We start from the raw sequence: 14,396 nt of genomic DNA, 5'->3' as shown, positions 1-14,396 counted from the left end.
GCGCATGCGCGCCCGGCCCACCCGCACCCTCCCCCAAGGAGACCGCGCGCGTCCTCCGCTGGCCTCTTAACCTGGGGAGACCCGCTGCCTCCCTGGTCGGGCTGTGGTGCCCACAGCTGGCTCTAAGGCGTCCAACCCTCTGCTGCGTTCAGGCTACATGGCCCAGCTGCTTGGAGCCATCCTTGGCAAGTCACACTGAACCTGTCTGTCATGGCACAGACAAGGAGGGGCGCTGGGTTCCCAAGCCCTGGCGCCCGGGGGTCCTGTGGCCTCCTTTTCAGGAGGCTCAAAGAGTGGGCGTTTTTTCATTGATGTAACCACGCATTCAGCACCTCTGTGATACCCCGAAGATTTTACAAAGCACCATGCTTGTCTTTAAATGGTCTAGGGTTTTTATGTTTTGTTTTGTTTTGTTTTGTTTTGTTTTGTTTCCCGTGTTGTCCCTTTGCTGCTTACCAAGGAGGGTAGAATTTTGCTGTTTTGGGAAATATTTTTAAGAAAGAATTAGTGTGTAATTATAGGAAAATATATCTATAAGACTGACCAGAACCCATTTATATGTTCTTTGCATTCTTTGCAAGAGTAGGCATGCATTATTGATCTTTGGTTTTCTTTTCTTAAATGGAAATATCCTAATTTGGCCAGATGTAAGATTCAAGTAATCTGATGTAATTAGACCTGGTAAAATATATTCTTTGGCCCAGGATTCACTAACAGCCTCTTTTTGTTTAGCTAATAATTCTTCTTCCATCTCTTTGCTTGCTTTATATGTGGAAGAACAGTCTCTGTGCAAGGATGAACGTATCTAAACTTCTAAGTCCAGTGCCAAGCAGATCACCAAAGGAGAGTGAAGTTTGCCTTTACTCAGACATTTGCACATAGTGATCCACAGCTGAAACAGTTTTAGACTTGAAGTCAGGAATCCTAGGTTCTGGCCCTGAGTGTGTGACCTCAGTCACCACTGTACCCCTCGAAGCCTTGATTACCTCCTTTATTTAATAGCGATCAAGTATTTCCCTTCCTGCTTCGCAGAGTAGTTATGTAAATAAAATGCAATGATGTGGGCAAAAGCATAATATCACCTGGAAAACACTATGTTAGAAAATCAAAGTGTGTTTTAAACTAGGGTCAGCATATAATTTATCCTCCAAACTGGACCTTTTTTTTTTTAAGAGTAAAAGGAGGAGCTCTTTTAAAAGTTACACAAGGGAATAGGCATAAACTGGGACTGTCCTAGGCAAACTGAGACAAATGGTCACCTGAATTCTAACTTGATTAACACATACTTTTGCCTTGTCTTAAAAGAGAATTTAAGGCTGGGCACGGTGGCTCAGCCTACCATCCTAGCACTTCGGGAGGCTGAGGTGGGAGGATTGCTTGAGCTTAGGAGTTTGAGACCAGCCTGGGCAACATAGACCTTGTCTCTATAAAAAAAATAATAATACTTTTAAAAGAATTTAAGGCTACTTACAAAAATATCTGTAACAGGTTTTGTTGTCGTTGTTTTAGATAGGGAAATTTCAGGGAAGGATGGTAAGGGTGGTAGATCATGATTATAAAGCAAGAACCAGGAAGCTTCCTCAAATATCTGGGAAGTCAAGTGCAGTTTCACAATTGCATTCTAAGATTTCGATATGGAAAGGGTTTGAAGAGTCCCCTCCTCTTAAATGGTGAAGATTATGGCTAGGAAGTGTGGTAAAGAAGAAAGAAGTGTGATGATTTGAGAAGGAAGTACCCTGACTGCTCCACTTTCAACACTTTCAACACCATCCTCGAAAAGGGAGAAGAAGAAGAGAAGAAAATGGGTACTACACCAGTTATTAAAGGTGGTGAGATGATTTCATACCTGCTGTTTATTCCCTTTAACTTCCTTCCCCTCCACTGCTGACCTTCATATATAAATGGTATCAGTTATATTCATTCTCCCATTTAGCTGACAGCCATGCTGACATAAAAGGCAACCAATGAGAAAAGTGCGGACCAAGCTGGCCTGTAATCCCAGCACTTTGGGAGGCCGAGGAGGGCAGATCACTTGAGGTCAGGAGTTCGAGACCAGCCTGGCCAACATGGTGAGACCCCGTCTCTACTAAAAATACAAAAATTAGCCAGGTGTAATGGCGGGTGCCTATAATCCCAGCTGCTCAGGAGGCTGAGGCAGGAGAATCACTTGAACCCAGGAGGCGGAGGTTGCGGTGAGCCGAGATCACGCTGCTGCACTATATCCTGGGCAACATGAGCGAGACTGTCTCAAAAAAAAAAAAAAAAAAAAAAAAAAAGTGCGGACCAGACTAGAAGTCAGAAGACATGGCTGTCCTGAAGCTCCACCCAGTAGAGGTGTGGGGCTGTTAAGGTCTCTCCTGAACATTGTTATTTCAGGTCTTTGGTGATGATAGTGATATTGAGCTGGTGACAGATAGATCTCCATAATGTGCAGGATGGGCCAGAAATCCCGACTGTAGAGGAGACTAGTTCAGAGCCTATTGAAGTGACCCAGATGAGATTCTGACCCCAGGTAGAGAAGGCAAGGAGGAAAGATGGATTTTGAGGTGGCTAGGAGATGGAATGTGCAGAACTCGTTGACTAGATGTGAAAGAGCATTGTTTCTGTATGCAAAATTGTGCTGTGTTCCAGCACACACTCTTCTGCTTCTGAAGTGATTCAATCTTCCAGTGAGAACAGGAGCTCTCACTGTGATGCCAGGTAGCCACAGCAAGGATGGCACTCCCATAGTTCTGGTGTCAAGAAGGAAGATGAAAATGGAGAAGAGGTGGGTTTTAACCTGTCCCTGCTAACCACTGAAAGTCCAAGATCCTCACCATCCATGTGGCAGCAGGTGGAGACTTCCAGGAGGAGTCAGATTCCTGGTTTCCACTGGTCTTTGCATGTCAGGGATGTTCCTAAGTGAGACGTTTGTATGTCAGAAACTGTCTTTCATAACAAACTGGTACCTTGGTACTGATTTGAAGGACTGCTTTTTTTTTTCCAAAAAATTCATGGATTCTTACCTTTTAAACTAATGCAACTTATGACTTGGGAAATGGCAGTTTGTTCCAAACAGCCCTAATGTTTTGTTTTGGGAAAAATCAGTACTGTGGAACATAAGATCATATTTCTAAATAATCTTTGTAAATGAAAGAAGGGACCAGCAAAAGAGAGGTCATTTAGGATAAATGTAGGATAGAACACTGGAGAGGCAAAATAAACTGTTCAAATAAGTAGGAGCTGACTCTGATAATATAACAGAAAAAAATGCCAGGAATGGCTCCTCAAAAAATTAGACATAGTTACTATATGATCCTCCAATTCTACTTCTGGATATATATTCCCAGATGAAGTGAAAGCAGGAAATTGAACAGATATTTGTACATTCATTTTCATATTAGTATTATTCACAACTGCCAAAAGCTGGAAACAACTCAAATGTCTGTCAATGAATGAACAGATAAGCAAAGTGTGGTATAAAGCATACAGTGGAATGTTATTCAGTCTTAAGAAATGAAATTCTGACATGCTACAACATGGATGAACCTTGAAGACATTATGCTAAGTAAATAAACTGAACATAAAAGGACAAATATTGTATGATTCTATTTATTAGCAGGGCCTAGCATAGTCAAATTCATGAGACAGAAAGTAGAATGATGGTTCCCCGGGTCTGGGATGTGGAGGGAATGGGAGTTAGTGTTTAATGGGTATGGCATTTCAGTTTAGGATGGTGAAAGAGTTCGGTGGATGGATGGTGGTGATGGTTGTTCAGCCATGTGAATGCACTTAATGCCACTGAGTTGTATATTTAAAGTGGTTAAAATGGTAAATTTTATGTGTATTTTATTAAAATTTTTAAGGGGTTAAAAATGCCAGGGAAAACATTTCTGAGAGTTTGAACTTTAATCTCTGTAGACAGTTTAAAGCCCTTACCAGATTTTTGAAGTTTCTTTGAAGTCCTGTGTTTCATCTTTAAAAAGGCATGACAATTTTCCATTCTGATCCCTAATATGTTTATCTTTATCTTCATACCATTTTTCATGTAATGCATTCAGCTAGTGTTGTTTGAGTGCCCACTTTGGACCACGTACAGTTCTTGGCAGTGGTGGAGTTGGGAACAAAAGAGACAAGGCCGAGGACGTGATCGGGATGGGGAGGGAGATGATGGAGAAATGAAGAAATGATGCTAGCATTACCTAGCATCCTGCAAAATCCATGAGCCAGGGGTGTGGCACTCGTTTAGTTCCCAGCTTTCTGTTCTCTCCTGTTGGACAGATTGGGCTGGAAGTCAGGATGCTCCCTTTCAAGGGAGCTCTGACGATGGGGCCAGGACATTCTCCAGTTCTTCCTTGCTTTCCTACTCTCTGATCTGTTCCCATGCTGCAAAAGGCACCTTCTGTATAAACGATTTCTGACACCCCAGGGAACTTGTATTTTTCTATGAGAACTTTCTGTTTATAGATTATCTGAGAGTGAGGATGCCTGAGCTTTAGAGTTGGCCCTGGGTGTTGCTACAGAATTCACGTTAACCCCAGATTTGTCATAACTTGGGATCTGGATTGCACTCAACTCTCATTTTGATAATTACCATTTATGAAAGAATCAAAATGTGCCAGGCACTATTGAGCTCATCAGCTTATTTGATACTCAGGAGAGCTTTATCCAGCAGTTTTGCTTAATAGTTAAAAGCAGGGCTCTGGAATCAGAATGCCCAGGGTCCATTCCTGGATGTACCACTTAACCAGCCTTGTGACTTCCGACACATGACAGCCCATTGCTCTGAGCCTCTGTTTTCACACCTATAAAATAGAATAATAATAGTATCTAGCTGTTGCGAGGATAAAATGAGATAATACTTGTAGAGTACCCGACAGTAAGTACTCTTTTTTAAACAGTATGCATTTTATCATCCTCATTTTATAGATGAGAAAATTGAGGCTCAGAGATGTTAAACCAGTTGCCCAAAGTCAAACTGATAGTGAAGGGCCCAGGTAGGATTGAAACCCAGGATCATCAGACGCCTAGGTGGGTGGTCCTGATGACTCTGCTCTATTATTTGCCCAGAGAGCTGAATTGCCAGGATTGCTGGTTTCTGAGAGGACCTCATTAGAGCATAGTTTCTTTCACTCAACGTTCTCCTTTGAACGCTGAGACCATTGCGATGGCAATACTCATGATGACTTTCCACACAACTGTGTGATGTGCACTAGGCTTATGGTGTCTCTCTAGCATCTTAACTTTCCTAGAGTAAAATGCTGTGAAATAAATAAGAAAAACAATTTTTATAATGCTATTAACAGAATCCAACCTCTGTCCTAATCTGCTATGACAGCAGTCGTACTCCAGTGTCTACAGCTCTGATCTCTTCCTAACTCAATTCTGCTGTCCAAAGTATGGGTCTCAGCTGGGTCCCACAGGGAATGGAGGCTGTTCATAGGCAATTTGCAACGTGAATACCTACATATAACTCAGACCTAATGTTAGTCCCTTCCTGAATCGTCTGCATGCCTCAGGCACTCTGTTATTCTCCGTCTTCTCCTTCTTTCTCCCTGCTCCATTTCTGTGTACCCATTACTGGATGTTCTTCCAACTCCTGATTCTGTCGAACAAAAAGGGCAAACATTAATTTCTACTAAGATGAGACCTCAGGGAGAAAGAAGGCTTAAGCCAAGTGTCAGTAAGCAGAGAATTCCAATACCAAACTACAAAGTATTATTTATCCTACAGACAAACATATGTACACACACACACAGTGCTTGGCTACCACAATCCAATAAGAGAAGCCAGTTCTAGTCCGCTAAAGCAGCAGCAATTTCACCTTCAGTGGTAGTAAGGATAGAAAGCACTCAAGAGGTTCCATTTAGATACAAAGCCATGTATATTTGCTTTGTATATTTGTATATTAGCTGGGACTACAGGCACATGCCACCATATCTGGCTAATTTTTCAATTTTTTGTAGAGACAAGGTCTCACTATATTGCCCAAGCCCGTCTCAAACTCCTGGCCTCAAGCAACCCTTCCACCTCAGCCTCCTAAAGGGGCTGGGCATGAGCCACTGTGACTGGCCACTGTGACTGGCCCCAAGCCCAAGTTCTTAACCATTACTGCCCTAAAACAACGAATGCTTTTAGGTAATTCTAGTTTGCCAAGGTCAATATTTCCTGCAGCCTCCATAGTGTGTGTGTATTCATATTTGTAAAACATTTAGATAAAATGTATGATAATTGTAACAATAGCTTACTTAAAGGATAGAGAGGAGGAAATAGGTTATAAGTTTCTTTAAATATATGCATTGTTAGTATTTTGTTTAGGACAGTCAATTACCTCTTAAGGAGATTAAAAAATGAGGAGAAAAATCTTTTACGTATACATAAATGTTTACCACTTCTGAAACTCTTCATTCCTTTGTCTAGGACTATGTCTCTATGTGATACATGTGATATCATTTTCTTTCAGCCTGAGGAAATTTTAAAATATTTCTTGTAGAGTAGATCTGCTGGCAACAAATTCTCTGTTTTTGTTTGTCTAAAAAATGTATTTCTATTTTGTGTTTTGAGGAATATATGTGTTGGATATACAGTTATAGGTTGACAGTTTTTTTCTTTCAAGACCTTGAAAATCTTGTTCTATTTTCTTCTGGCTGACTTGTCTCTGATGATAAATCAGTGTTAATATTATCTTTGTCCCACTGTTTTTTCTGGCAACTTTTTTTTTAAAGGTGATCAACCTTATGTCATTTATATTTTATTTTATATTTTTAACTTTTTTTATTTTTAATTTTTATGGGTACATAGTAGGTGTATATATTGATGGAGTACATGAGGTATTTTGTTACAGGCACATAATGTGTAATAACCCCATCAGGGTAAATCCATCACTTTAAGAATTCATCATTTCTTTGTGTTACTAACATTTCAATTATACCCCCTCAGTTATTCCAAAATGTGTAACAAATTATTGCTGACTGTAGTCACCCTTTAGTGTTATCAAATACGAAATCATATTCATTGTATCTAAGTAATTTTTGTACCTACTCACCATCCCTTTTTCCTACCCCTGCCCACACTACACTTCCCAGCCTCTGGTAACCATCCTCCTACTCTCTGTCTCCATGAGTTCAATTGTTTTAAATTTAGCTCCCACAAATGAGTGAGAACATGTGAAGTTTGTCTTTCTGTGCCTGGCTTACTTCACTTAACATAATGTCCTCCAGTTCCAGCCACGTCATTGCAAATGACAGAATCTTATTCTTTTTTATGACTGAAAAGTATTCCACTGTGTATATGTACCACATTTTCTTTATCCATTCATTTGTTGATGGGCACTTAGGTTGATTCCAAATCCTGGCTATTGTGAATAGTGCTGCAATAAACATGGGCGTATAGATATCTCTTTGATATATTAATTTTCTTCCTTTTGGGTGTATACTTAGCAGTGGGGTTGATGGATCATATGGTAGTTCTATTTTAGTTTGTTGAGGAACCTCATACTGTTTTTATAGTGGCTGTACTAATTTACATTCCCACCAATATTGTATGAGGATTTCTCTTTCTCCACATCTTCACCCACATTCATTATTGCCTGTCTTTTTGATAAAAAAATATTTTAACTGGGGTGAGATGATATTTCATAGTAGGTTTAATTTGCACTTCTGTGGTGATCAGTGATTTTGAGCGCATTTTCATATACCTGTTTGCCATTTGGTGTCTTCTTTCGAGAAATGTCTATTCAGACCTTAAGCTCATTTTAAAATCAGACTATTAAATTTGTTTTGTTTCCTATTAAGTTGTTTGAGCTCCTTATATATTTGGGTTATTAATCCTTTGCCAGATGGGTAGTTTACAAATATTTCCACCCATTCTGTGGGTCATCTCTTCACTTTGATGATTGTTGCCTTTGTTGTGCAGAAGTTTTTTAATGTGATCCTCTTTGTCCTTCGTTGCTTTGGCAGCCTGTGCTTTTGGGGTACTGCTCAAGAAATTTCTGCCCAGACCAATGTCCTGGAGAGTTTCTCCAAAGTTTTATTTTAGTAGTTTCATAGTTTTGGGTATGAAATTTAAGTCTTTAATCCATTTTGATTTTATTTTTCTATATGGTGAGAGATAGGGGTCTAGTTTCATTCTGCTGTGTATTTATTGCAACATTTATTGAAGAGACTGTCTTTTCCCCATTGAATGTTTTTGGCAACTTTGTAAAAAATGAGTTCAGTGTAGATGTATGGACTTGTTTCTGGGTTCTCTATTCTGTTCCATTGATCTATGTGTCTGTTTTAATGCAAGTACCATCCCGTTTTGGTTACTATAGCTCTGTAGTATAACTTGAAGTCAGGTAACATGATTCCTTTAGTTTTGTTCTTTTTGTTCAGGATGGCTTTGGCTATTCTGGGTTTTTTGTGGTTCCATATACATTTTAGGATTGTTTTTTCTATATCTGTAAAGAATGTCATTGGTATTTTGATAGGGATTATATTGAATCTGTAGACTGCTTAGGGTAGTATGGACATTTTAATAATATTGATTCGTTCAATCCATGAACATGGAATATCTTTCTGTTTTTATTGTGCCCTGTTTAATTTCTTGCATCAATTTTTTATAGTTTTGATTGTAGAGATCTTTCACTTCTTTGGTTAAGTTTGTTCCTAAGTATTTTATTTGTAGCTGTTGTAAATGGAATTACTTTCTCAATTTCTTATTCAGACTGTTGCTGTTGGCATATAGAAATGCTACTGATTTTTGGCCGGGCATGGTGGCTAGCACCTGTAATCCCAGCACTTTGGGAGGCTGAGGCGGGTGGGTCACAAGGTCAGGAGATCAAGACCATCCTGGCTAACACAGTGAAACCCCGTCTCTACTAAAAAAAAAAAATACTAAAAAATTAGCCAGGCGTGGTGGCAGGCGCCTGTAGTCCCAGCTACTTGGAAGGCTGAGGCAGGAGAATGGTGTGAACCCGGGAGTTGGAGCTTGCAGTGAGCCGAGATCATGCCACTGCACTCCAGCCTGGGGGACAGAGCGAGACTCCGTCTCAAAAAAAAAAAAAAAAAAAGAAATGCTACTGATTTTTGTATGTTGATTTTGTATCCTATAACTTCACTGAATTTGTTTATCAGCTCTAATAGTTTTTTGGTGGTGTCTTTAGTTTCTTTAAATATAGGATTATATCATTTGCAAACAAAGATAATTTGACTTCTTCCTTTTCAATTTTCATGCCCTTTATTTCTTTCTCTTGTCTGATTGCTCTAGCTAGGACTTTCAGTCCTATGTTAAATAACAGTGGCGACAGTTAACATCCATTTGTTTCCAGGAATTTTTCACTTTTCTTCTTAATTTCTTCATTGGCCCACTGGTCATTCAGGAGCATATTGTTTAATTTCCGTGTGTTTGTATAGTTTCCACGTTCTTCTTGTTATTGATTTCTAGTGTTAGTCCATTGTGGTCGGAGAATATATTTTATATGATTTCGGTTTTTTTTTTTTTAATGTTTTAAGACTTTAGGCTGGATGTGGTAGCTCACGCCTGTAATGCTAGCACTTTTGGAGGCCAAGGCAGGTGGGCCACTTGAGTCCAGAGTTTGAGACCAGCCTGGGAAACATGGTAAAACTGTGTCTCTACAACAAATTACAAAAAATTAGCTGGGCATAGTGGCTTGTGCTTGTAGTCCCAGCTACCCAGGAGGCTGAGGTGGAAAGATCAGCTGAGCCTGGGAGGTCAAGGCTACAGTGAGCCATTACAGTGAGCCATGGTCACACCACTGCACTCCAGCCTGGGCAACAGAGTAAGACCCTGTCTCAATAAATAAATTAATTAAATAAATAAATATTGGCTTTACATATCTGGGTGCTCCAGCGTTGAGTGTATTTATATTTATAATCGTTATATCCTGTTGTTGAATCGATCCTTTTTCCATTATATAATGACCATCTTTGTTTGTATTTATAGTTTTTGTCTTGAAATGTATTTTATCTGATATAGGTATAGCTACTCCTGCTCTTGTTTTGATTTTCATTTGCATGGAATATCTTTTTCCATCCCTTCATTTTCAGTCCATGTGTGTCTTTGTAGGTAAAGTGTGTTTTTTGTAGGCAACAGATCACTGGGTCTTGTTTTGTTTTGTGTTTTTAATCCATGTAGCCAGTCTATGTCTTTGGTTTGGAGAGTTTAGTCCATTTACGTTCAATGTTATTAATGATAAGTAAAGACTTACTCCTACCATTTTGTTATTTGTTTTCTGGTTGTTTTGTGGTCTTCTCTTCCTTCTTTCCTTCCTGTCTTCCTTTTTTTTGGAAGTGATTTTTTTCTGGTGGTATGTTTTGATTTTTTCTTTTTTTTGTGTGTGTAACTGTTGTAGGTATTTGATTTGAGGTTACCATGAGGCTTGCAAATAACGTCTTGTAACCCATTATTTTAAGCGAATGACAACTCTGATTGCAAAATTGAACAAAGAAGCTAACAAACAAGCAAGGAGAAAACTAATACAAATTCAATACTTTAACTTCATCTCCTCTCAAGTTTTTGTTGTTTCTGTTTATATCTTATTATACTCTCTGTCTTAAAAATTTGTTGCAGTTATTATTCTTGATAGGTGCATCTTTTTAGTCTTCCTACTTAAGATAGAAGTAGTTTGCACACCACAATTACACTGTTACAGTATTCTTTATTTGTTTGTGTACTTGTTGTTACTTACCGGTAAGTTTTGTACCTTCAGATGATTTCTTATTGCTCATTAATGTCCCTTTCTTTCAGATTGAATTCCCGTTAGCATTTCTTATAGGACAGGTCTGGTGTTTAAAAAAAAAATCACTCAATTTTTGTTAGTCTGATAAAGTCTTTATTTCTCCTTCATGTTTGAAAGATATTTTCACTGGATATAATATTCCAGGATAAAAGGGTTTTTTTCAGCACTTTAAATATATCATACTACTCTTCTGGCCTGTAAGGTTTCCACTGAAAAATCTGCTGCCAGACATACTGGAGCTGCCTTATATGTTACTTATTTCTTTTGTCTTGGTGCTTTTAGGATCTTTTCTTTATCCTTGACCTTTGGGAGTTTGATTATTAAATGACTTGAGGTAGTCTTATTTGGGTTAAATTTGCTTGGTGTTGTATAACCTTCTTGTACTTGAATATTGACATCTTTCTCTAGGTTTGGAAAGTTCTTCGTTATTATCTCTTTGAATAAACTACCCTATTCTCTCTCTCTACCACCTCTTTAAGGCCAATAATTTAGATTTTCCCTTTTGAGGCTGTTTTCTAGACCATGTAAGCATGCTTCATTTTTTTTATTCTTTTTTCTTTTGACTTCACTGACTCTGTATTTTCAAATAGCCTGTCTTCAAGCTCACTAATTCTTTCTTCTGCTTGATCAGTTTTGCTGTTGAGAGATTCTGATGCATTCTTCAGTTTATCAATTGCATTGACTAGCTCCAGAATTTCTGCCTGATAATTATTTCTGCTTTTTAATTATTTCAATCTCTTCGTTAAATTTATCTGATAGGATTCTGGATTTCTTCTTTGTTTTATCTTGGATTTCATTGAGCTTCCTCAAAACAGCTATTTTGAATTCTCTGTCAGAAAGGTTACCTATCTCTGTCACTCTGAAATTTGTCACTGCTGCCTTATTTAGTTTGTTTGGTGAGATCATGTTTTCCTGGATGGTACTAATGCTTGTGAATGTTTCTCAATGGCTAGGCATTAAATAATCATTTATTTTTTTCTAATCCTTACAATCTAGGCTTATTTATACACTTCCTTCCTGAGAAAGCTTTCCAAGTATTCAAAGGGAGTTGAGTGTTGTAATCTAAGTCTTTGGTCACTGTGTGGCAACTTTTTATCATTAGTTGTCATCAATATGTGTTGATATAATTTATAGTTTTCTCTGTTTTTATTCTGCCTGAGGATCATTGAGATTCTTGCATCTTCGGATTGGTACTTTTCATCAAATGTAGAAAATTAGGAGCAGCAATGCCTCCCTAGTCTCACAGATGCTACTACCGCTCCCACCCCTTCACTCCTCAGTTGTGCAATGGGCACCTGCAACAATGAGAATGACTACCTCTTTAATGTTATCCTTATTGGAGATTCTGGTGTTGGAAAGAATAATCTCCTGTCTTGATTTACTCAAAATGAGTTTAATCTGGAAAGCAAGAGCACCACTGGAGTAGTTTGCAACAAGAAGCATCCATATTGATAGGAAAACAATAAAGGCACAGATGTGGGACAGAGCAGGGCAAGAGTAATACGAAGCTATAACATAAGCTTATTATCATGAAGATATAGGTGCCTTATTGGTTTAAGACATTGCTAAACATCTCACATATGAAAATACAGAATGATTGCTGAAAGAACTGAGCGATCACACTGATAGTAATGTTGTTGTCATGTTATCATGGACAAATAAGAGTGATTTACATCATCTCAGGGAAGTTCCTAGAGTTGAAGGCAAGAGCTTTGGCAGAAAAAAATGATTTGTCATTCATTGAGACATCTGCTCTAGACTCTACAAATGTAGAAGCTACTTTTCAGACAATTCTAACAGAGATACCTCACATTGTTTCTCAGAAGCAAATGTCAGACAGAGCCGAAAAAGACATGTCCCCAAGCAATAATGTGGTTCCTGTTCATGTTCCACCAATCACTGAAAACAAACCAAAGGTGCAGTGCTGTCAGAACATCTAAGGCGTTTCTCTTCTGCCCTGGAAGGCAATGTATAACCCATTTCTCAAGTCCAATATTTAAATACTGAGGAGAACAAAAACCACCCAGTAACAGGCCCTGGAGACAAATACTCCTTATGTGAGGAATTTAGAAGGGAGCAAAGACCACCTGTTGACCACAAAACAGGCAAAACTCCTTATCTGAAGAATTTAGAAGTAATTAAACTTCCCTAGTATCCAAAGTTGGCATCTGGTTCCAGGCCTCTTTTCAACTTAAAGTTTGTAAAGATGTATAGACGTTCTATACGTCTCCAGAATGCCATGTCAAAACTCATTGTGCAATCCTTGCTGACATTAAGGCACCAAAAGTACTACAAATGTAATCATTTATTATGACCTATGTGGCTAGTATGGTCCCAATTACCCTCAAGCTCCTGCCTTAAAGTTCATAACTACTCCTAAGGAAAAATCCACCACGGTGCACTCCGCCCTCTCATTGAGGTGCCCTGATGCACTCTCTGGCAACGTTCTTTCTTTCTAATAGTACTTTCCTTTTTCAAACCTATACTGTTGTCAGTAAATTCTTACCAGCCTGTGAGTCAACCACTTCTAGATGCTGGGGCTCTGATACCTTGCCTGGCAAATATTTTTGTAATTCTTGTGTCATTTTTTTTCTTATTACTTCATACTTATGAATTTTTCCATATCTTCAGTGTTTTGATTTTAGTTTTATAAAATTATCCACTTATCCCAAATGATTGCAACCTTTTTCATGCTATGGCTTCACTAGACTTAGTTTAATAGGTGGAATGTTTGGATTCCTCAATTATTGTTTACTTTTCATTCTGGAAGCCCATCACTGTAGGACATAATAGAACTTGATCACTAGAAGCTCAGACCTATTGGTCTTGATCAAATCAAACTAAGACCTTAGAAATAAGCTATCATTTTGCCACAGAGCAGCTTATAGGTTATATACTCTTCTCTCAGTGCAGTGTATATTTCCACAAATGTAAGGTGACCCTATAAACATAGCAGGATTTTGAGAGCTGAAAAATGTTCCATTATTCTGGAAGTCAATTTCTAAAATGCCTTAATAGGTTTATGTAGTTTAGTAAATTTTGTTTTTTAATTTTTGTAAGCATCAGAGTTGATTAGAGAGGGAGACATGTTTTTTTTCTGGAGAAGAATTATCTAAACAAACACAAAAGATTTGTTACGGTTTTGTTAGTAGTATGTTTATGGGGCCATATGTTAAATAATGTTTCCCATCAGGCTGGGAACTGGTGAGACTGGTAGAATCCCATCTGAGGTGCCTCTGTTGCAATGATCAGGCAGCCCAAACCATTTAAGCAATCTCATTTTCCAGCCGTAGATAACGTGGCGTTTTATTACTCAGGCAATAACTGGTTTAATACTGGTAGTATCAAATTTTGAAGTGTTAATTTTGTCTTAAAACCTTCCAGTAAGTGAAATGAAACCAGTTTTATGACCATATCTACCAGCAGGCATGGATAATTATTTTGACAATGCTGATATTTGAGTTTTGCAGTATATTATGGAATACAGTTCAGTTAAATCTTTGGTTTCAGTGTGTCTAAAGAATACAATGAGGAATTTCTGCTCAAATGGTACCACTTAAAGGCATGCATTCTTTTAGTATATGAAATGAAATAGCACCTTGAGTTTAAATAGAATGCACTTAGGCATTGCAGAGACTGGATATAATTTTCTTCCACTACATTATTAAAATCAATGAGA

General features: G+C 38.4%; 1 pseudogene; it reads left to right on the top strand.

The window, feature by feature from the left end:
- On the top strand, window positions 11,938-12,720 carry RAB11AP1 (RAB11A, member RAS oncogene family pseudogene 1; annotated as a pseudogene).

Source organism: Homo sapiens, chromosome 10 (assembly GCF_000001405.40).
Source record: "Homo sapiens chromosome 10, GRCh38.p14 Primary Assembly".
NCBI classification, from domain to species: domain Eukaryota; kingdom Metazoa; phylum Chordata; class Mammalia; order Primates; family Hominidae; genus Homo; species Homo sapiens.
Note: the sequence above shows the minus strand (reverse complement) of the source record. Positions and strands in the feature narration are given on the sequence as shown.